Source organism: Homo sapiens, chromosome 2 (genome assembly GCF_000001405.40).
Source record: "Homo sapiens chromosome 2, GRCh38.p14 Primary Assembly".
NCBI lineage: Eukaryota > Metazoa > Chordata > Mammalia > Primates > Hominidae > Homo > Homo sapiens.
The window spans coordinates 229,979,241-230,003,178 of record NC_000002.12 but is presented as its reverse complement, the minus strand read 5'-3'; the positions used below and the strand labels follow the sequence as shown (position 1 = coordinate 230,003,178).

Below are 23,938 nucleotides of genomic sequence, written 5' to 3'. Positions count from 1 at the left end.
AAGTGCGGTGGCCCGATCTTGGGTCACTGCAATCTCCGCCTCCTGGGTTCAAGCGATTCTCTTGCCTCAACCTGAGTAGCTGGGACTATAGGCGCATGCCACCACACCTGGCTAATTTTTTGTATTTTTGGTAGAGACGGGGGTTTCATCATGTTGGCCAGGATGGTTTTGATCTCCTGACCTCGTGATCCATCCGCCTCGGCCTCCCAAAGGTGTGAGCCACTGTGCCCAGCCAAGAAGGAATATTTCAACCCTCCCCAAAATAGGAAAGATCTAACATCCACTGAAAGACGGTCATTTAAATAAAACAAGTTTAGCTTTATCAAAAACTTTATATCATCCTTATTATTCTCATTTCATCATGGGTTATAAAGTCACTAATGCTGCTGGTTTGCTGAGCATTAACTGCTATGTAAACCATTTTTGAAGAAGAGAGATTGGATAAGGATAGTTTTTGTTTTTTGAAGGATGAAACTGATTTGAGAAAAAAATTAATGCCGGGCATGGTGGCGCATGCCTGTAATCCTAACACTTTGGGAGGCTGAAGCAGGAGGATTGCTTCAGCCCCAAAATTCAAGACCAACCAGCGCAAGATGGCAAAACCCTGTCTCTACAAAAAATACAAAAATTAGCTGGGTATGGTGGCGCAGGCCTGTAGTCCCAGCTACCCAGGAGGCTGAGGTGGAAGGATCACTTGAGCCCAGGGGGTGGAGGTTGCAGTGAGCTGTAATCATGCCATTGCACTCCAGACTGTGTAACAAAGCAAGACCCTGTCTCAAAAAGGAAAAAAAAAAAATTAACGTACGGGGGGGAAAAAACAGAGAAAGATTTAATTACTAAATGCAGTGTAGTAAGCTAGATTGGACATAAAACAGCAAAAGGACATTATTGAAAAAACTAATGAAATTCTAATAACATCTGTATTTTAGTTAATAGTGTTGTACCAATATTAATTGCCTAGTTTTTATAAATGTACCATGGTTATGTAAGATGTCAACATGGGGGAAGCTGGGTAATTAAAAGTTAAAAAAAAAATAACAATAGGCCGAGCAATGGCTCATGCCTGTAATCCCAGCACTTTGGGAAGCTGAGGCAGGCTGATCACTTGAGGTCAGGAGTTCGAGACCAGCCTGGCCAACGTGGTAAAACCCCGTCTCTACCAAAAATACAGAAATAAAATAAAATAAAATAAAATTAGCCAGGTGTGGTGGCTTGCACTTGTAATTCCAGCTACTCAGGAGGCTGACGCATGAGAATCGCTTGAACCTGGGAGGCGGAGATTGCAGTTAGCAGAGATCATGCCACTGCACTCCAGCCTGGGTGATGGAGTGACTTTGTCTCTTAAAAAAACAATAATAGTAACAATAACAAACAGAAGAGAAAGGAAATAAGTGAAATTCCCAGGAGTAGGCCCTGGAACCACGTGTCAGGTAGCACTGATCTTGAGCAGGAGAGGAGCAACTCCCTCCCTGAGGTAAAGAGGAAGGAGCTGGACTGGACACAAATAATTTGGTAATAAACTTGTCCCCCGGAATTTGAAAAGGAAGCCTTTTTTTCATTAATAAAGTAGTTAAATGAAAATAACTTATAAGGTTGGGCATGGTGGCTCATGCCTGCAATCCCAGCACTTTGGGAGGCCGAGGCAGGTGGATCACCTGAGGTCAGGAGTCCAAAACCAGCCTGGACAACATGGCGAAACCCCGTGTCTACTAAAAATACAAAAATTAGCCAGGCACAGTGGTGGGTGCCTGTAATCCCAGCTACTCGGGAGGCTGAGGCAGCAGAATTGCTTGAACCCAGGAGGCAGAGGTTGCAGTGAGCCGAGATGGTGCCATTGCACTCCAGCCTGGGCAACAGAGCGAGACTCTGTCTCAAAAGAAAAAAAAAGAAAAAAGAAAAAGAAAATAACTTATAAATGAAGTGTGTAACAGGTAAATGGAACAGAGATAAAACTTAGATTGACAACAGAAATAAGTGGTTTTCCTTCTTTCCCTGTGTGCAAATAAGAAAAAAAGTGGTTGGCTGGGTGCAGTGGCTCACGCCTGTAATCTCAACACTTTGGGAGGCTGAGGTAGGTGGATCACTTGAGGCCAGGAGTTCAAGACCAACCTGGCCAACATGGTGAAACCCAGTCTCTACTGAAAATGCAAAAATTAGCCAGGCATGGTGGCAAGCACCTGTAGTCCCACCCAGCTACTCAGGAGGCTGAGGCAGGAGAATCCCTTGAACCCAGGAGGTGGAGGTTGCATGAGCTGAGATCTCACCACTGAACTCCAGCCTGGGTGACCGAGCGAGACTCTGACTCAAAAAAAAAAAAAAAAAAAAAAGAAAAGTGGTTAATGTTATGCGGGGAGAATAAAAGCAGCAGCCCTGAGTCATGTTCCATCTTCTAATAATTCTGCTCTGTAAAGATGCTCAGGGCTGAAATCAGCAACCTAGAGAAGACCTACTTCAGAGCACTGGCTAAATTATGGAGAATGTTTTCAAGACTGCACTGAAATAATAGCAGGACACTAAGAGTGAAAGTAATAGTGGAAGTGAGTAAAACTTGGAGAGAAGGCAGCCGCTCAGCGTGAGAAATAACTACCAGAAGCCACTCACTTGCTGCTGTTTCCTATCAAATCCTTCCATTTACTTGCAGGAGCAGAAATTTACTGAAAGTAAATGGAAGGATTTGATAGAAAATCAAATCCAGGCCCTGCAACAGCGCAGAAACTTTTGCTAGATCCCCACTTGCATATTTTATTTACGTAGAATTCTCTTTTCATTTAAAGTATGAATAATCAGCTGCTGCTGCTTCTTTTTTTTTTTTTTTTTTTTTTTGAGACAGTCTCACTCTGTTGTCCAGGCTGCAGTGCAGTGGTGTGATCTTGGCTCACTGCAACCTCCACATCCTGAGTTCAAGCAGCAATCCTGCCTCAGCCTCCCAACTACCTGGGATTACAGGCCTGTGCCACCAGGCCCAGCTAATTTTTGTATTTTTAGTTGAGATGTGGTTTCCCTATGTTGGCCAGGCTGGTCTCAAACTCCTGACCTCAGGTGATCCACCCACCTCGGCCTCCCAAAGTGCTGGGATTACAGGTGTGAGCCACCGTGCCAGGCCCTAATAATCAGCTTCTTATCAGCACCAAGCACAAAATTTCAACTTTAGGATACTTATTTAATGGCAAAAATATATACAATAGTACTTGTTTTCAGCTTTCCATTTTTAGGTAGGAAAATCAAGTAAAAAATATATTTTGGGGAGCTAAATGATGAGAACTTATGAATACAAAGAAGGAAACAATAGATACTGGTGTCTACTTGAGGGTGGAGGGTGGGAGGAAGAGGAGGAGCAGAAAACATAACTATTGGGTATTGGGTTTAATAATTAACCTGGGTGATTAAATAATCTGTACAAAAAAACCCTGTGACATGAGTTTACCTGTGTAACAAACCTTCACATGTATGCCTGAACCCAAAATATAAGTTAAAAAATACATATATATACATATATATATTTGGACAGGAAGGTGGCTCACACCTGTAATCTCAGCACTTTGGGAGGCTGAGGTGGGAGGATCATTTGAGCCCAGGAGTTCAAGAGCAACCTGGGCAACACAATGAAATCCCACCTCTCTTTTAAAAATTAAATATGTGTGTGTGTGTATATATACACATACATATATATATATATATACATATATATATACACACACACACACTCTCAAAAGGAATATATTAAGTACTATAATACAGATTATATTACTTAAGGCCGGGCGCGGTGGCTCACACCTGTAATCCCAGCACTTTGGGAGGCCGAGGTGGGTGGATCACCTGAGGTCAGGAGTTTGAGATCAGCCTGGCCAACACGGGGAAACCCCGTCTGTACTAAAAATATAAAAATTAGCTGGGCATGATGGTGGGTGCCTGTAATCCCAGTTACTCGGGAAGCTGAGGCACAAGAATCACTTGAACCCAATAGGCGGAGGTTGCAGTCAGCGGAGATCATGCCATTGCACTCTGGCCTGGGCGACAGAGAAAGACTCTGTCTCAAAAAAAAAAAAAAAAAAAATTACATTACTTAAAATTATTTTTGGCCAGGCGCGGTGGCTCACGCTTGTAATCCCAGCACTTTGGGAGGCTGAGGCGGGCAGATCACAACGTCAGGAGATCGAGACCATCCTGGCTAACACGGTGAAACCCCGTCTCTACTAAAAATACAAAAAATTAGCCGGGTGTGGTGGCGGGCACCTGTAGTCCCAGCTACTCGGGAGGCTGAGGCAGGAGAATGGCGTGAACCTGGGAGGCAGAGCTTGTAGTAAGCCGAGATCGCGCCACTGCACTTCAGCCTGGGCGACAGACAGAGACTCGGTCTCAAAAAAAAAAAAAAAAAAAATTATGTTTTTTGAGACAGGGTTTTGTTCTGTTGTCCAGGCTGGGGTACAGTGGTATGAACACAACTCACTGTAACCTCAACGTCCTGGGCTCAAGTGATCCTCCTATTCAGCCTCCAGAGTAACTGGGACTACAGGGGCATGCCATGACACTCAGAAATTCTTTTTTTTTTTTTTTCTGAGACTGAGTTTCGCTCTTGTTGCCCAGGCTGGAGTGCAATGGCACGATCTTGGCTCACCACAACCTCCGCCTCCCGGGTTCAAGCGATTCTCCTGCCTCAGCCCCCCTAGTAGCTGGGATTACAGGCATGTGCTACCACGCTTGGCTAATTTTGTATTTTTAGTAGAGACAGGTTTTCTCCATGCTGGTCAGGCTGGTCTCAAACTCCCAACCTCAGGTGATCCAACCGCCTCAGCCTCCCAAAGTGCTGGGATTACAGGCATGAGCCACCGCGCCCGGCCATAACACTCAGCTAATTTTTTAAAAATGTACTGTGGAGATGGAATCTCCCTATTTTGCCCAAGTTGATCTCAAATTCCTAGGCTCAACCAATCCTCCCTCCTCAGCCTCCCAAAGTGCTGGAATTACAGTCATGAGCCACTGTGCCTGAATTAAAATTAATTTTAAAAATAAAGACATTTTATTGCATTATTGGGAAAAAATGTTGGCTTTTTAGATAATAAGATTATGATTTGAATCATCTTGGAAAATGTTGTATGTTCTTTTATAAATGGACATTGCCCCAACACATTACAGCTAAATACCGAGCTAGTCAGGGTTCCTCAGTTGCAAGCAACAGATTCCCATTCTGATTTACTTAAGCCAAAAAGAGATTTAATGGAAAAGTAGTATGTGTGTGATTGTGGGGTAGCATTGGGGGTTCTGGAGTTGAAGGAACAACAGAAGGGTTAGGGACCAAGGTATCTTCCAGGATCCAGGGAGTACAACTGACAAAGGTCACACTGAAGCCTTGACAATGGCTGAAATCAGCACTAACTGTGCTTCCTGCTCTTGGGTCATTCTGCTGAGGATTTCAAGCAGTGAGACAATGCATCTTGTCAGCTTCGGGCAAGGAAGAAAACAGGACACTGCAATGGACAGCCCACTGAAACACACATATTGGGAGACAGGAAATGCAGCAAAGGCTATTACTAGAAGAAATGGAAACGCGGATGTCAGGTTGTCCTCCTTGCCCTATTCTCTCTCTCTTTTTTTTTTTTTTTTGAGTCAGAGTCTCGCTCTGTCACCCAGGCTGGAGTTCAGTGGCGAGATCTTGGCTCACTGCAACCTCCACCTCCCGGGTTCAAGTGATTCTCCTGCCTCAGCCTCCTGAGTAGCTGGGATTACAAACACCTGCCACCACGCCCAGCTAATTTTTGTATTTTTAGTAGAGATGGGGTTTCCCCATGTTGGCCAGGCTGGTCTCAAACTCCTGACCTCAGGTGATCCACCCACCTCGGCCTCCCAAAGTGCCCTATTCTCTTACGCCACTATGCTTCTGCTTGGTTGTTCCTTGACTTGGAATGCCCCCTAACCCAGATCACCTGTCTTCACCAACTTCACCCTCAAAAGCTAGATAAAGTAACCTGCTTTTGTGAAGCCAGGCAGAGAAAATCACTTTGCACTCTCTTTGTACCTTGCATACACATCCCTTGTTGAACTGATCACGCTGTATTATAATTATTTGCATTTACATGAATCTCTACTATAATACTGTAAGTTCTTTGAGGGGAGGAATGTCATTTCATCTCTGCTGCTTGTGCACCTAAGACAGTGTCCATCACAAAGTTAGTACTCAACAAATGATTGCTATGTTAAAAATTTTTTTTAGAAAGCACATGGAAAATTCTATATAGACATAAAATAATTGACCGTTACCTTTGCAAATCTGTGTGATGTTTGACAAAGCCTGGCAATATCTTCAAGATCCAGATAAGAAATGATAGTCAGGAGCAAATCGTCTGAGAGCCGTTCAAGGAAGTCAAATTTACCTTTGCACAAATTGATGACATAGTCTAATATTCTTGCACCAAATATTAAGGCAGTTTGACCTGTAATTCAAAGAAGCCAACATGGTTATCATATACAGTCACATAAAAATTATAATAACAATCAGTGAAATACAAGCTTCAGGGCATTTTTCCCCTGGGAGTGACGTTAGATGATGCTAAGTCATTCCTACTTTCACCGAGCTGCCTTTGGGACTAACTGAATGCATTTTTGAGGCATCTGTTTCCAATTTCTGTCCCTGCCCTGAGATCAGAATCTTTGAGGGACACTCACTGTTTAACACAGTGATTTCTGCATCCCCTTGATCTCATCAGCACCAAACTCCAGTCTATACCACTAACGTAATTGGTCTTGGCATTACCATTGTACTCATGGCCCCTCCAAGCAGGCAGCTATGTGGAGGAAAAAGATGCTGGTCCACGTGGCTTTTCTGCCAGCCCTGCTACTGTCCATTAGTCTAAAACACATTGTCTCCTAATTTTAGCTGACATTTGATCTCTTATTTAACTTATTTTTTTTTTTTTTAGATGGGGTCGCCCAGGCTGGAGTGCAGTGGTGCAATCGCGGCTCACTGCAGCCTCGACCTCCCAGGCTCAAGCAATCCTCCCATTTCAGCCTCCCAAGTAGCTGGGACTATTGGTGTGTGCCACCATGCCTGGCTATTTTTTTAAATTTTTTTTTAGAGATGGAGTCTTATTATGTTGCCCAGGCTGGTCTAGAACTCCTGGGCTCAAGCAATCCTCCCACCTCGGCCTCCCAAAGTGCTGGGATTCCAGGCATGAGACACCACACCCAGCCTGTTATTTTTATACATTGTGTCTACACCAAACTTTCTTCCTTCTTTACCATCTCCTTTCATCCCTAACTTCATTTGATAGGAAAAAAAAAAAATAGGAACAGGGCTGGGCACGGAGGCTCACCCCTATAATCCCAGCACTTTGGGCAGCCAAGGCAGGCGGATCACCTGAGGTTGGGAGTTCGAGACCCGCCTGACCAACATGGAGAAACCCTGTCTCTAATAAAAATACAAAATTAGCCAGGCGTGGTGGCACATGCCTGTAATCCCAGCTACTCGGGAGGCTGAGGCAGGACAATTGCTTGAACCCGGGAGGCGGAGGTTGCGGTGAGCTGAGATCATGCCATTGCACTCCAACCTGTGCAACAAGAGCGAAATTCTGTCCAAAAAAAAAAAAAAGAAAGAAAGAAAGAGAAAGAAAGAAAGAAAGAAAGGAAGGAAAGAAAGAGAAAAAATATAAAGAGGCAAAGAGAAAAACATGAATATTTCATAAAAATTATTATGATTTTTTTTTGTAGAGACAGGGTCTCACTATGTTGCTCAGGCTGGATGCTTCATAGTATTTTAACTTTTGCCTAATATTTTCTGTACCTGTTCACTTATTTTCAAATTAGGAAATAGTTCATAAAGAATCAACCAATCAATGGCCTATCTAACTATGTTTGATGTAGGAAAAAAGGATTTCCCCCCAGTTCTCTGAATAAACAAGAAATGAAAACTTGTTTGGAAGGATAGATGTTTAAATGTAAACAGTGGTTAAATGTGGTGACTTTTATTTTCTTCCTTTGGCCTATCTGTATTTTCTGATCTTTGTACAATAAACCCATATTACCAGTGTAATTTTTTTAAATATTGGAAAAAAAGACTACCTCTTTTTTTTTTGAGACAGAGTCTTGCTCTGTCACCCAGGCTGGAGTGCAGTGGCACGATCTCAGCTCACTGCAACCTCCGCCCCCTGGGTTCAAGCAATTCTCCTGCCTCAGCCTCCTGAGTAGCTGGGATTACAGGCACCCACCACCATGCCCGGCTAATTTTTGTATTTTTAGTAGAGATGGGGTTTCACCATGTTGGTCAGGCTGGTCTCGAACTCCTGACCTGGTGATCCACCCGCCTCAGCCTCCCAAAGTGCTGGGATTACAGGCATTAGCCACCATGCCCGGCCAAGACTACCTCCTTTTAAGAGAGAGGAAAACAGGGTGATGGTGGGGTATGCATATAGATCACAGGGGCCCCAAAACTGGGGGCTTTGTCAGTTTCTCTTCTCCCCTTCTGACTCTGAAAGCTCCACTATGGAGTCTTCCCAAAAATGGCTCTTAGAAGAGAAAAAGTGCACTCTCTTAGATTCACTGTCCAATATTTGGCGACCACCTTCCCTATTCAACCTGAACCATTCCTTCTGGAGCAAGTAGGACAGAGCTGTCAAGGGCAATAGGCTCCCTGCAGAAGCAGGCGGAACTGTGATCCTAGAAGTTGGGCTCTCTGATTTCAGAATGGATGTAAGGTGTGGGCTGTGTTTATGTAAAAGCCCAATCGTGCCAGCTTAGAAGAGTAGCTATATAAGATTTCTCTCCCAAACAGGTTAGCCTACATTAAGGCATTAATACAGAAATAGAAAATAGAGGCATTAAGGATTTAAGTTGCTTCTGAATTCCAAGTGCTTCCCATTCAAAGCCCCTCTAAAGTACAAGGGCCTTCTTGGGGGGTGAGGAATAGCCCTTTCAAAAACTCAGCATTAAAGAGTAGGTATTGTGAAGATCCTCTGCCCACCAGCAGAAGAAGAAGAAAAAGCAGTGCTTATTTAAAGCCCTTGACATAATTGAAGATAATTTTTGAATACTTTAAAATGACAAGAAAACATGTTCAAAGCATGCTCAAATATACTTTAGAAAGTCTCCACCAATAAAGTATTTAAAGTGTAAAAGTTGGCCAGGCGCAGTGGCTCACGCCTGTAATCCCAGCACTTTGGGAGTCTGAGGAGGGTGGATCACGAGGTCAGGAGATCGAGACCAACCTGGCTAACACAGTGAATCCCTGTCCCTACTAAAAATACAAAACAAAAAGAAAAAAAAAAAATTAGCCGGGCGTGGTGGTGGGCGCCTGTAGTCCCAGCTACTCAGGAGGCTGAGGCGGGAGAATGGCGGAGGTTGCAGTGAGCTGAGATCGTGCCACTGCACTCCAGCCTGAGTGACAGAGCCAAACTCCGTCCCTGCCAAAAATAAATAAATAAATAAATAAAGTGTAAAAGTTTTAGGACATGTACAGCTAGGTATGAAATGTGATGGTTTGAAAGTGTAGGTGGTTAGAGTATTTTGAAAAAATACTCTTGCTTTTTTGGTATTTTTAAATGTAACTAACATATATTTCTTTTGAAATTAAAAAAAGTATATTAAAACAAACTCCATTCTGAAACATAAAATCACCGCCTGCCTGTTGGATTATGTGGCAGACAGTCTCCAAGACAGTTTCAGTGACTATCTTTTCCTAAACTTACACCCCCGCATATTTCCATCCCACACTGAATAGGGCTGCCCTATTAACAAAGAGGATATTGCAGAAATGATATTCAAAGGGTAGGTCATCATAAAGGCTTCTGCTTTGCTCTTCGATCACTCACTCTGCGAGAAGCCAACGGCCATGTCCTGACAAGTTCTTTTGAAGTCTTATAGTGGCTGCCCTTAGAGACAATAAATGACCAGTGTTTCCTATTCAGATCTTAGTTACTCTCGTTAGGATTGGGAGGGTCTGGAAGAAAAAGATCTAGCTCTGTTAATAGAGATTCTTTACAGATACAAATTTTCCCCCACAAAGAACAGCTTTGCAGGGCCATTTCAAAATATGGCAAATCAACATGTTTTGGGGTAAAATATGTTGATTTTCTTCTTTGTCTCATAATGTTATGCCAGAGTCAGGTTGGAAAGTAAATTATGATATATAGGGTTAAACAAAACCCATCTGATGAGACTATGATTTGTAGGGCATGACTCCCCAGACCCCTCAGATAGGAATTTGGGCAAGATAAAAAAATCAGAGTTTAGTCCTCACTTAGCAGCACTATGGAGAGGTCCATGAGACAAGAAATTGAAACCTCCTGCCAACAACCACCAGTGATTTCTCAGCCATGTGTATAAGCCATCCTTGAATGGGATCCTCCAGCCCCAATCAAGCCTTCTTCAGATGACTGAGGTGCCATTCAACCCCATGCAAGTCTCCTAATCAGAACCACTCAGTTAAGTTGCTCCCAAATTTCTGGTCCACTGGAACTGTTTGAGATAATAAACAATTATTATAGTTTTAAGTCATTACGTTTTGGGATAATCTGTTACACAGCAATAGATGATAAAGACTTGGGTACCTGCAAGAGATGTGCTGCCACAGTGGAACCTAAAATGTAAGAGTGGCTTTGATATTGAAAAGTCCATAAAAATGTGAATGAGTGTGACGAGAGGGTTGGTGAAAGCCTGAAGAGCCAAGAAGAAACCATTAGTAGAAGTCTAATGGACTCTGAGGTTTTAAAGATGAAGACAAAAGATTAAGTGAGGGCCAGGTGTGGTCGCTCATGCCTGTAATCCCAGCACTTTGGGAGGCCAAGGCAGGCAGATCACTTGGGGTCAGGAGTTCGAGACCAGCCCGGTCAACATGGTGAAACATCATCTCTACTGAAAATACAAAAATCAGCTGGGCATGGAGGCGGGCACCTGTAATCCCAGTTACTTACAAGGCTGAGGCATGATAATTGCTTGAACCCGGGAGGCAGAGGGTGCCGTAGCCAAGACTGCACCATTGCACTCCAGCCTGGACAACAGAGTAAGACTCCACCTCAAAAAAAAAAAAGATTAAATGAGAAAAAAATGCAACTTATGGGTTGTGCCATTTAGCTAAGGAAATGTCCAAGCAGAGCAGGAACATACTGCCTGATTTCTTCTTGATGCTTAAAGTAAAAGATAAGAGAAAAGAGACAAGCTAAAGGAAGGTCTCTTAAAAAGGACACAGGATTTACTGCTTTTGAACATTCTCTGCCTCTTCAGCTGTCAAACAAGCTAAAATTAAGAAGTGACTCTCAGGCAAAGATCAAATCTAGGACAATGGAAGAAAAACATGGTATAAAGAAGAAATTGGAGATGGGGAAAGGTGGCTACAAGATGCTCTGTCAAAAACCATTCAGTCAAACCTTAGGGTTTTCATGAAGCTTAACAGTGTTGTCACTCAAGAGTCAAGAGCAGAAACCCAAGGTAGAGAAGTGCTTATCTCACAGAAATATATAAGTGTGGTTTTCTCTAATGCAGTAGACCCCAATAAGAATTATGGAAAACCCATGATATTTTTAAGAGAATTATGTTGGTAAAAACACTGCCATCCAGCCTGAACTGAAAGGGTCACACGCAGTACAAAAGGAGAAGACTTTGGACCCTCAACCAGCAAGGTAGCTTTCATTCTACAGCTTCTTCTCTTGGCTTGTGCAGGGCTGCCATTTCACTGTGTGCTCACATGACTTCTTCTTTGTGAGCTTAAGGAGACAGGGAGTGAGCCTCTGGTCCGACTTCTAACAAGAACACCAATTCTATCAGATTAGGGCCCCAACTTAAAGACCTTATTTAACCTTAATTACTTCCTTAGAGGCCTCCATGTCCAAATATAGTACACTGGGAGTCAGGGGTTTGACATATGAATTTGAGGGGGGACACATTCAGTTCATAATCCTGGGAAACATTTGGAAATTTTAAACACATTTCTGAATAATTAAGGAGTCAAAGAAGATATTAGGCCAGGCACAGTAGCTCATGCCTGTAATCCCAGCACTTTGGGAGGCCAAGGTGGGCCGATTACTTAAGGTCATGAGTTCTAGACCAGCCTGGCCAAGATGGTGAAACCCCATCTCTATTAAAAATACAAAAATTAGCTAGGCATGGTGGTGCTTGCCTGCAATCCCAGCTGCTAGGGAGGCTGAGGTGGAAGAATTGCTTTGAGGTGGAGGTTGCAGTGAGCCTAGATTGCACCACTGCACTCCAGCCTGGGTGACAGAGTGAGACTCCCAACTCGGGGCGGGGGAGGGGAAAAAAAAGAAAGAAAACCCAAGAGACTGTGACCAGTAAATAAAATGAATTCACTGATTAATTAAGAAAAGGAAACCTTAACTAAAGTTTCAGGTCTATACTGCTTTACAGATTAGCTTTATAAACTCTCAAAGAATTATATACCAATCCATATGGTATACAATTTGTTCCAAAGAATAGAAATAGAAGAACTCCCCAGCTCAAATTAGGAAGTTGTGCAAACCAGCAATGATGGTAGGCAAAAGGAAAACTGTATGCTAAACTTTACTTAGGAACATATGTGGTAAAAATTCTAAACAAAACATTAGGAAATTGAGTTCACCAACATATTAAAAAAGTAAACAAATTTTGACCAGTAGGATTAATCCTGGAATGATCCAAGGATGTTATAACTTTGGTAAATATCTTACAGAATTTGCCATATTAACGTATTTTTTTAGATAACCATCTCAAAAGTATAGAAATTATTTCATATAAATATTTCTAACATCTATTATAAATGAAAACTCCTAGAAAGCTAGTAATAAAAGGGAACATCCTTAACCTGATAACCTGATATACAGAAGTTACTAAAACCCAATAACAGTAACAATAATAATGAATGGTACAAATATGGGTTGGTATCATCTTCAATATTTGCCAGGTACTGCTCTAATATGTATATATATAAAGTGTGTGTGTTATATATATTATACAATATATATAAGATATATCATATATATTATATAATTTAACCCTCACAATGACCCTATTGGATGGGTACTATTATTATTCCCCTCTTATAGAGGAAAAAAAGGAGTTCTGGAATATGGAGAGAACTTAAGAGAGAGAGAGAAACTAGGAAATGAGGAACAGAAAGGATAAGTGGCTGTTCAGGATCACACAATGAGAAAGCGGCAGAACTAGGATTGAACCCAGGGAGTTTGCTCTACAATGCACCCTCCAATCATGATGGTATATAACCTCTAATGTCAGAAATAAGACCAGAATGCCCACTATCACCATCTCTATTCAGCATTGTTTTAGAGGTCACAGAAAGAACAAAACAAGGAAAATATAAAAATACATCATGAGCCGGGTGCGGTGGCTCACGCCTGTAATCCCAACACTTTGGGAGGCCGAGGCGGGTGGATCACGAGGTCAGAAGTTCAAGACCAGCCTGGCCAAGATGGTGAAACCCTGTCTCTACTAAAAATACAAAAAAAAAAAAAAAAAAATTAGCCAGGCGTGGTGGTGGGTGCCTGTAATCCCAGCTACTCTGGAGTCTGAGGCAGAGAACTGCTTGAACCTGGGAGGCAGAGGTTGCAGTGAGCTGAGATCACACCACTGCACTCCAGCCTTGGCTAGAAAGCGAGACTCTGAAACAAACAACAAACAAAATATATCATGGCCGGGCGTGGTGGCTCACGCCTGTAATCCCAGCACTTTGGGAGGCTGAGGCGGGCAGATCACCTGAGGTGGGGAGTTCAAGATCAGCCTGACCAACATGGAGAAACCCTGTCTCTACTAAAAATACAAAATTAGCCAGGCATGGTGGCACATGCCTGTAATCCCAGCTACTCAGGAGGCTGAGGCAGGAGAATCACTTGAAGCTGGCAGGGAGAGGTTGCAGTGAGCCAAAATTGTGCCATTGCATTCCAGCCTAGGCAACAAGAGCTAAACTCCATCTCAAAAAAATAAATAAATAAAAATAAAAATACATCATGATCAGAAAGAAAAACTGCCATTACCACAAAATGATCTGAATGTCAACATACAAAAGTTGACGAAAGTCAAGAAATCCTACTGAAAAAAGATCAGTATCATTTCTTTATATACCAGAAACCATTAACTCAAAATTATAACTTAGTAAGCATTTATCTTTTGGCCAGCAATCTCACACTGAAATGATCTGTGCACACAGTTATTCATTTTGGCATTATCTGTGATACGAAAAGATTGGAAACAACCCAATTTTTATCATTAGAATTTTGATGCCTACATATAAAGAAATATTATATGCAGATAAAGCATATATATGATATGTATATAGTATATGCTTTAGTATAAAGCATATATACTCTATTAAAGCATAAATACTATGCGGTAAAAAAAAAAAAACAAAAAAAAAAAAAAACAGGCCAGCATGGTGGCTCACGCCTATAATCCCAGCACTTTGGGAGGCTGAGGTCACCTGAGGTCAGGAGTTCGAGACCAGCCTGAGCAACATGGAGAAACCCCATCTCTACTAAGAAAATACAAAATTTGCTGGGCATGGTGATGCATGCCTGTAATCCCAGCTACTCAGGAGGCTGAGGCAGGAGAATCTCTTGAACCCATGAGACGGAGCTTGTAGTGAGCTGAAATCGCGCCACTGCACTCCAGCCTGGGAAACTAGAGTGAAACTCGGTCTCAAAAACAAAAAAACAAACAAACAAAAACAAAACAAAACAAAACAAAGAATATCTCCAAAGACATGAAGCGATTTCCTGGATATACTGGTGAAAAGGTAAAGTGTTGAACAGCAGGAGCAGAATGCTATTTGTGTAAAAAACGGGTACCAGAATATAAACATATTTATGAATTTGTTTATATCTGCAGAAAGAAACACTGGAACAGTAAATAAAAGCAAAAGTGTTTACATCCAGGACAAAGCTATTACTAGCTTTCTAGGAGTTTTCGTTTATAATAGATGTTAGAAATATTTATATGAAATAATTTTCTATACTTTTGAGATGGTTATCTAAAAAAATACGTTATAATTTTGAGTAGATTCTCTGACCACATGTAATTTAGCTAAATATTAAGAACAAAAAAAGTAACTAAGAAATCTCCAACTACCTGTAAATTAAACAATATGTTTCTAAATAATCTAAGGGTCAAAGAAGAAATCAAAATGGAAATTAGAAAATGTTTTAACTGAATGAAAATGAATGAGAATAAAGACGCAAGTTATCAAAACTTGTCTATGTAGGTAAAGCAGCAGTTAAAGAAAATTTAGAGGAGAAAAAATGGCTCTAAACAATGATTTAGGCAAGGTGCAGTGGCTCATGTCTATAATCCCAGCACTTTGGGAGGCCAAGGTGGGAGGAATCGCTTGAGGCCAGGAGTTAGAGATAAGTCCCAAGACCAGCCTGCGCACCATAGTGAGACCCTGTCTCTACAAAATTATCCAGGTGTGGTGGTGCACACTTGTAGTCCCAGCTACTCCAGAAGCTGAGGCAGGAGGATCACTTAAGCCCAGGAGGTTAAGGCTGTAGTGAGCCATGATCACACCACTGCACTCCAGCCTGGATGACAGAACAAAACCCTATCTCAAAAATAAAAAATAAAATAAAATGAATAAATAAATAATGATTTATACTTCCATCTCAAGAAGCTAAAAAAGAACAACAAACCAGACTTAAGGAAAGTAGTAGAAAGGAAATAAGGGTAAGAACAGAAATCACTTTTTAAAAACTCACAAAAACAAAATCAACAGAGCTAAAAGTTAGTTCTATGAAAAAAGTTAATGAATGAAGTAAACCCCTGGCAAGATTAATTAAGAAAAAAATTAGAGAAAATGTAAATTACCATTATCATGGAATGAAAAAGAGAACACACTACAGATCCTCAGACATCAAAAGAAGAGGATATTATGAACAGATTACAACAAAAAAGTGACAATTTAGATGAAATGAAGTAAATAGGACAAATGTTAACATCTTTTGTTAGTGGTATTGAGTCTCTGTAACGTTCTTTTTTTTTTTTTTTTGAGATGGAGTCTCGCTCTGTTGCCCAGGCTGGAGTGCAATGGCCACAATCTTGACTCACTGCAGCCTCTGTCTCCTGGGTTCAAACGACTCAGCCTCCCAAGTAGCTGGGATTACAGTTGTGCGCCAACACGCCTGGCTAATTTTTTTATATTTTTAGTAGAGATGGGTCTCACCATGTTGGCCAGGCTGGTCTTGAACTCCTGACCTCAAATGATCTGCCCACCTTGGCCTCCCAAAGTGCTGGGATTACAGGTGTGAGCCACTGTGCCCAGCCAGAGTCTCTGTAATGTTCTTTTCTGTAGGTTTAAAATATTTCTGAATTTGAAAACTTTTAAAGAGCAAGCTACAGGATACAATGCATAAGATTCTTCTTTTTGGCCGGGTGTGGTGGCTCACACCTATAATCCTAGCACTTTGGGAGGCTGAGGTGGGTGGATCACCTGAGGTCAGGAGATCCAGACCAGCCTGGCCAACATGGTGAAACCTCGTCTCTACTAAAAATACAAAAATTAGCTGGGCATGGTGGTGGGTGCCTGTAGTCCCAGCTACTCGGGAGGCTGAGGCAGGAGAATCGCTTGAACCCAGGAGGCAGAGGCTGTGGTGAGCCAAGATGGCACCACTGCACTCCAGCCTAGGCTACAGAGGGAGACTCTGTCTCCAAAAAAAAAAAAAAAAAATTTTTATGTTTATTTTATTTTACTTATTTATTTATTTTAAGATAGGGTCTCACTCTGTTGCCCATACTGGAGTGTAGTAGCACAATCACAGCAGCCGTGACCTCTTGTATACAAGTGATCCTCCCACTTCAGCCTCCCCAGCAGATGGGACCACAGGTGAACGTGAATCCACACCCAGTTAATTTTTGCATTTTTTATACAGACAGGGTTTCATCACATTGCCCAGACTGGTCGTGAACTGCTTGGGCTCAAGTGATCCTCCAGCCTCGGCCTCCCAAAGTCCTCAGATTACAGGTGTGAGCTACATTGCCCAGTCCTTTTTGTGTTAATATATAACATATTCTTGTATGTATGCATAAACCATTTTTATAAGGATATAACAGAAACTCCTAATGATGGTTGTCCTGGAACTAGAAACACAGGGTCAGAGGGAGACTTATTTTCATGCTAAAACTTTTCATTTTTATTGTATTTATTTATTTGTTTCGAGACAGGGTCTCATCCTGTCCCCCAGCCTGGAGTATAGTGGCACAATCATGGCTAGCTACAGCTTTGACCTCCTAGCTCAAGCCATCCTCCCACCTCAGACTCCCAAGTAGCTGGGACTACAGGCATATGCCACCATGCCCAGCTAATTTTTTTAATTTTGTATAGACAGTGTCTCACTATGTTGCCCAGGCTGGTCTTGAACCCCTGGGCTCAGGCAGTCCTCCCACCTTTGCCTCCCAAAGTGCTGGGATTACAGGCATGAGCCACAGTGCTTAACCTAAAACTTTTCAAATTCATTTAACTTTTGTTTTACTATGTGCATTATTTCAATTTTTAATCTTAAAACATCAGTTAATAATAAATGACAAAATGTAAGATTTTATTTGGATTTGCCTTCTCTGCTCTGCAGCCCAGAGCCAGCCTCCCAGGCTCCTACCTCCTGCACTCTCCCACCTCACCATCCACTTGCAGAACCCAACCCAAGGTATGCAGAAGCTAGAGATCAAGGCTGAAGACAAAGGGCAGCTGATCAGAGAGGGCAGCAAGGAGGGGAGGAGTGTTGTAAGAGGTGTTAGTTAGGAATGAGAAAATAAAGGCCCAAGTTAAAGGCTGACGTATAAGTCTAAAAAAGAAACCTAGAGAAAATGGATTATGGAACAAGGCATGGTGGCAAAAGGGGTAAGAAAACACCTACCTCCTATTGGATGGAGTATAATTAACACAGCAGTTTTTTGGAGGGCAATTTGTGAGGATAAGAAAGTAACTGGTATTTTACGTAAATTTTAAATTACTCTAAATTGAAATATTGTGACATCAAAATATTAATGAAGTCTCATTTTAGGTGCAAATGTTAAAATAATGTAAATCACACAACTTAAAATTCTTTCAAGAGTAGCATAATTATAAAGTTGGCATAATTATTAAGGTCAAATGTGTTGCAAATGCCATTTGCGCTGCATCCTGTGGCAGTGGCATGCGAGCCAGTTCACAGAAAGACCATCCTTGGTCACGTTAACCCTGAATTCTGCAAGATTTTCAAGAATGCACCCCTCAGATAAAATCTATCAAAATTTATAAGGTATATCTCTTTGGATATAGCAATTCCCCCTGTAGGAATCCATATTACTGACATTCTCATGTAAGTGTGCAGATATAGATGTCCCAGCATGTACCTAAAGGCTTCAGTGAGAACAGCAAAACCTGGAAACCATCCGAAAATGCCCATCAATTGAGGATTGTGTATTTGTACCCACAGAATACCATACATCCTTGCAAAAGAACAGGGGACTTTATGTACACTAACAGAAAAATAATCATAATATATGAAGAGCAAAACAAGTTAAAAACCTAAAGATTAGGCTGGGCGCGGTGGCTCACGGCTGTAATCCCAGCACTTTGGGAGGCTGAGGCGGGCGGATCACAAGATCAGGAGATCGAGACCATCATGGCTAACATGGTAAAACCCCGTCTCTACTAAAAATATAAAAAATTAGCCGGGCTTGCTGGCGGGCGCCTGTAGTCCCAGCTACTTGGGAGGCTGAGGCAGGAGAATGACGTGAACCCGGGAGCGGCGTTGCAGTGAGCCGAGATCACGCCACTGCACTCCAGCCCGGGCGACAGAGCGAGACTCCGACTCAAAAAATAAAAAAAAAATAAAACCTAAAGATGTAATTGATTTGATTTTTTTTGTTTGTTTTTGAGATAGAGTCTTGCTCTGTTGCCAGGCTGGAGTGCAGTGGCATGATCTCGGCTCACTGCAACCTCCACCTCCAGGGTTCAAGCGATTCTCCTGCCTCAACCTCCTGAGTAGCTGGGACTACAGGCACGTGCCACCATGCCCAGCTGATTTTTGTATTTTTAGTAGAGACAGGGTTTCACCATGTTGGCCAGGATGGTCTCCATCTCTTGACCTCGGGATCCACCCGCCTCGGCCTCCCAAAGTGCTGGGATTACAGGCGTGAGCCACCGCGCCCAACCTGATTTTATTTTTATAAACATATATACAATTCAAACAGAAAGAATTCAAATACAAATGAAACTATTTAGAATGGTCGTCTCTGGGGAAGGGAGCTTGGAGGAGAGAAACAATTTTCACTTTTTAAATATTAAAAACTCCAACAGCTGGAATTTTTTGAGTACTTATTATGTGCCAGGCAAATTCTAAGCACTTCATTCAATTAGTCCTCATAAGGATCCTGTGAGATAGATGCCATTATTATTCCCATTATCAGCAGTTGAGGGAACTGAGACCTAAAAAGATTAAATAATTTGGTTAAGGTCACATACCTAGTGGGTTTAGGGCCAGGATTGGAATGGAAGTAGTCTGTATTAAGCAACATTCTTATTCACATGCTAACAGTTCTGTATACTTGGTAGTGTTAAGAGTAATGTTTAAATTAATAAACATGACAGTTTTGATTCTTAAAAATGCAAACCTGGGCCAGGCTGAGTGGCTCATACCTGTAATCCCAGCACTTTGGGATGCCAAGGCAGGTAGGATTGCTTGAGCTCAGGAGTTTGAGACCAGCCTGGGCAACATAGCAAGACCTCATCTCTACTAAAAAATAAAAATAATTAAATTGGCTGGGCATGGTGGTGTGCACCTGCACTCCCAGATACTCAGGAGGCTGAGGTGGGAGGATTGTTTTGTTTGTTTTTGTTTTTTTTTTGAGATGGAGTTTTGCTCTTGTTGCCCAGGCTGGAGTGCAATGGTGTAATCTTGGCTCACTGCAACTTCTGCCTCCCAGGTTCAAGCGATTCTCCTGCCTCAGCCTCCCGAGTAGCTTGGATTACAAGCATAAGCCACCACGCTTGGCTAATTTTGTATTTTTAGTAGAGACGGGGTTTCTCCATGTTGGTCAGGCTGGTCTCGAACTCCCGGCCACAGGTGATCCACCCACCTTGGCTTCCCAAAGTGCTGGGATTACACGCATGAGCCACCGCGCCCGGCAGGAGGATTGTTTGAGCCCAGGAGATGGAGGCTGCAGTGAGCTGTGATTGCACTACTGCACTCCAGCCTGGGCAACAGAGTGAGATCCTGTCTCAAAAATAAATAAAATAAAAATGCAAATCTGTTAAAAAAATTCAGCAACGTTTTTGATTTTGCAATTTAGTAATATAAATCACTGTGGTAGACATAATAATGCCCGTCCCCAAAGATGTCCATGTCCTAATCTCCAGACCCTGTGAATATGGGACCTCACACGGCAAAAGTAACTGTGCAGATGTGATTAAATTAAGGATCCTTTTTTTTTTTTTTTTTTTTTGAGACAAGCTCTTGCTCTGTCTTGGGTCACTGCCACTTCTGCCTCCCAGTTTCAAGCGATTCTCCTCCCTCAGCCTCCCAAGTAGCTGGGATTACAGGTGCCCACCACCATGCCTGGCTAAATTTTGTATTTTTAGTAGAGACGAGGTTTCACCATGTTGGCCAGGCTGGTCTCAAACTCCTAACCTCAAGTAATCCACCCGCCTCAGCCTCCCAAAGTGCTAGGATTACTGGTGTGAGCCACTGTGCCCAGCCAAATTAAGGATCTTGAGATGGGAGATAATCCTGGATTATCTGGTGAGCCTAATGTCATCACAAAGTTCCTTATAAGGGAAAGACGAAGGCAGGAGAGTCATAGTCAGAGAAGGAGACATGACCACGGAGGCAAGGTGAGAGTGATGCCTCGTGAGAAAGACAAGACCTGCCATTGTTGGCTTTGCAGATAGAGGAAGGAGGCTGGGCACAGTGGCCCACGCATGTAATCCCAGCACTACGGGAGGCCAAGGCAGGCAGATTGCTTGAGCTCAGGAGTTTGAAAGCAGCCTGGACAACAGAGTGAAACCCCATCTCTACAAAAAATACAAAAAAATTAGCCAGGCATGGTGGCACATGCCTGTAGTCCCAGCTACTTAGGAGGCTGAGGTGGGAAGATCACTTGAGCCTGGGAGGTGGAAGTTGCAGTGAGCCAGGATGGCCCCACTCCACTCCAGCCTGGGCAACAGAGTGAGGCTAGGTCTCTCAAAAAAAAAAACAAAAACAAAACAAAAAACTCAAGTGTGTGGCACCTCACCCTGTCACTCTCTTGTTCCTGCTCCTGCCATGTAAGACACCTGCTCCCTCTTTGCCTTCCACCATGACTGGAAGCTTCTTGGGGCCTCCCCAAAAACAAGCTGCTATGCTTTCTGTACAGCCTGCAAAACCATGAGCCAATTAAACCTCCTTTCTTTATAAATTATCCATTCTCAGGTATTTCCTTATAGCAATGTGAGAACAGACTAATACAACAGCAAACCATAAGGACATGCTGGGAATTTTTTTTTTCTTTTCCTTTTTCTTTCTTTCTTTTTTTTTTTTTTTTGAGACAGGGTCTCATTCTGTCACCCAGGTTGGAGTATAGTGGCACAATCACAGCGCACTACAGCCTGGACCTCCCAGGCTCAGGTGATCCTTCCACCTCAGCCTCCTGAGTAACTGGGCAGGCAGGCACCACCACGCCCAGCCAATTTTTGTATTTTTTGTAGAAACAGGGTTTTGCCATGTTTGCCAGGTTGGTCTCGAACTCCTGGCTTCAAGTGATCCGCTTAAGCCTGGCAGGTGAAAGTTGCAGTGAGCGTGATCGTGCTACTGCACTCCAGCCTAGGCAGCAGAGTGAGATCCTGTCTCAAAAAAAAAAAATCTGTTCATATATCAGGTATTTTGTCTTGCTTTTCATTTTGTTAAAGTTTTTTTTAGAGATGGGGGGGTGGTCTCACTGTGTTACCCAGGCTGGTCTCAAACTTCTGGCCTCTAGTGATCCTCTCACTTCAGCCTCCCAAGTAGTTGGGATTACAGGCGTGAGCCACTGCGCCTGACTTTGTATCAGGCCATTGAATGCTCACCGTGGCTATATGGAGTAACCATTATCTCCAGTTAAGGATGAGGAAACTGACTCACAGAGGGGAGGAGCAATCAGCTGTGATCACACAGCGGGCTGGTGGCAGGACAGAGATTTCAACGCCAGCTTACTGAGTCCCAGTCTGTGCTACCATGAACCCTCCTCCTTCCTCTGAAGACAGAGGACTTCCTGAAGGATTCTCTAAGAAGGGGGTGTACAGAGACTACCAACACCATGGTTTGGAGTTTTCCCCTTAGAGACACAGGAGCCTTTGAACTTGCCGGGCTGATTTAATTTGGTATCACAGTGCTGCTGCTGGCGGGAAACCACCTGGCAGCCCCGAGACTGCAGCTCTGTAAACTACCATTTAAAAAGCCTGGTTAGTACATGCCTTGGCTGAATCCCTCAACTCTCCTGCTGTCCAGCAGGAACACAGCCAGCAGGGAGGCAGGCCTGCTGTCAGACTCATAAAATCTTCGCTATATTGCCTTTTCTCTTCCAGTATCAGAACCCCTCAAGTAGTTATCCTGAAGTGAATCCCCTCCCCCAGTATCTTATCAGGAGCTTGACCCCTCCCCCCAATCTCTTATCAAGGGCAGGGCTTGGAAGGTGCCTGGAGCAGGCAAGAGACTGGTGAGGTCTGCAAGTAAGCCAGCAATCAGAAGGCAGTGGGAGGCTTTTGACTCCCATCTCTGGCCCAAATCCCCATCTCCAGGTTTTTGTGGAAGACAATCAGAAAACCACATGGTCTCAAGGAACAATGCAGCATTAACTAGACACATAGCTCTGGGGAAGGTCCTACAGTGGTTAGAAAATAAAATGGAGGCAGGGCGCCGTGGCTCACATCTATAATCCCCGGCACTTTGGGAGGCCGAGGCAGCCAGATCACTTGAGGCCAGGAGTTCGAGACCAGCCTGGCCAACATGATGAAACCTCATCTCTACTAAAAATACAAAAATTAGCCAGGTGTGGTGGTGTGTGCCTGTAGTCCCAGCTATTCAGGGGCAGGGGCGGGGGCTCTGTGGCATGAGAACTGCTTAAACTTGGGAGGTGGAGGTTGCAGTGAGCTGAGATCGTGCCACTGCCGTCCACCCTAGGCGACAGAGCAAGACTCTGTCTCAAAAAAACAAAAAACAAAAAAAACGAATGTTAACTTGAAAATGAAATGTGTTTTATGGAAGTTTACTTTATAGTGAGCTGCATAGAAACATGTCTGGTCCACAGTTAAAGTTAGGCATGCCTGGGCTGACTGAAATTCAATCAAAAGTAAATAGTCTTCTGCCAATATGATTGTTCTTTTTTTTTTCTTCTAATCTCAGTCACATTTTCTTCTCTTTTTCATTATTTGACATGGTTGTTCTTAAGCCAACAATGAATTTTATAAATATTTGCCATAAAGGAGTTAATGATATTGCATACAGATAGTAAGACAGTGAACCACTCAATCCAGCAGACTTTTTTTTTTTTTAACTCCGCCTCCCGGGTTCAAGTGATTCTCCTGCCTCAGCTTCCCAAGTAGCTGGGATTACAGGCTTGCACAACCACACCCGGCTAATTTTTGTACTTTTAGTAGAGACAGGGTTTCACCATGTTGGCCAAGCTGGTCTCAAACACCTGACCTCAGGTGATCCACCTGCGTCTGCCTCCCAAAGTGCTGGGATTATAGGTATGAGCCACTGCACCCAGCCCAACTTTTAACTATTTAAGAAAGCAAAACAAAACAAAACCTTCCCTCTCTAAACAAAACAAAAAACAACAACAAACTATCACATTTATATATATATATACACACACATACATAAAACAAAACTATCACATACATATATATATATATACACACACACTATATATATTTATATGGAGTCTTGCCATGTTGCCCAGGCTAGTCTTAAACTCCTGGGCTCAAGAAATCCTCCCACTTCAGCCTCCCAAAGTGCTAGAATGA

General features: G+C 42.8%; 1 protein-coding gene across 2 annotated transcripts in view; it reads right to left on the bottom strand.

Annotated features, from left to right (window-relative positions):
* The window catches only part of FBXO36 (F-box protein 36), a 90,617-nt gene that overhangs the window by 9,941 nt on the left and 56,738 nt on the right, over positions 1-23,938 (bottom strand). For both annotated transcript variants that reach the window (NM_174899.5, XM_005246317.3), the window contains exon 3: positions 6,256-6,428. In NM_174899.5, the coding sequence (NP_777559.3) occupies positions 6,256-6,428 (173 nt within the window). The remainder of the gene's footprint in view (positions 1-6,255; positions 6,429-23,938) is intronic.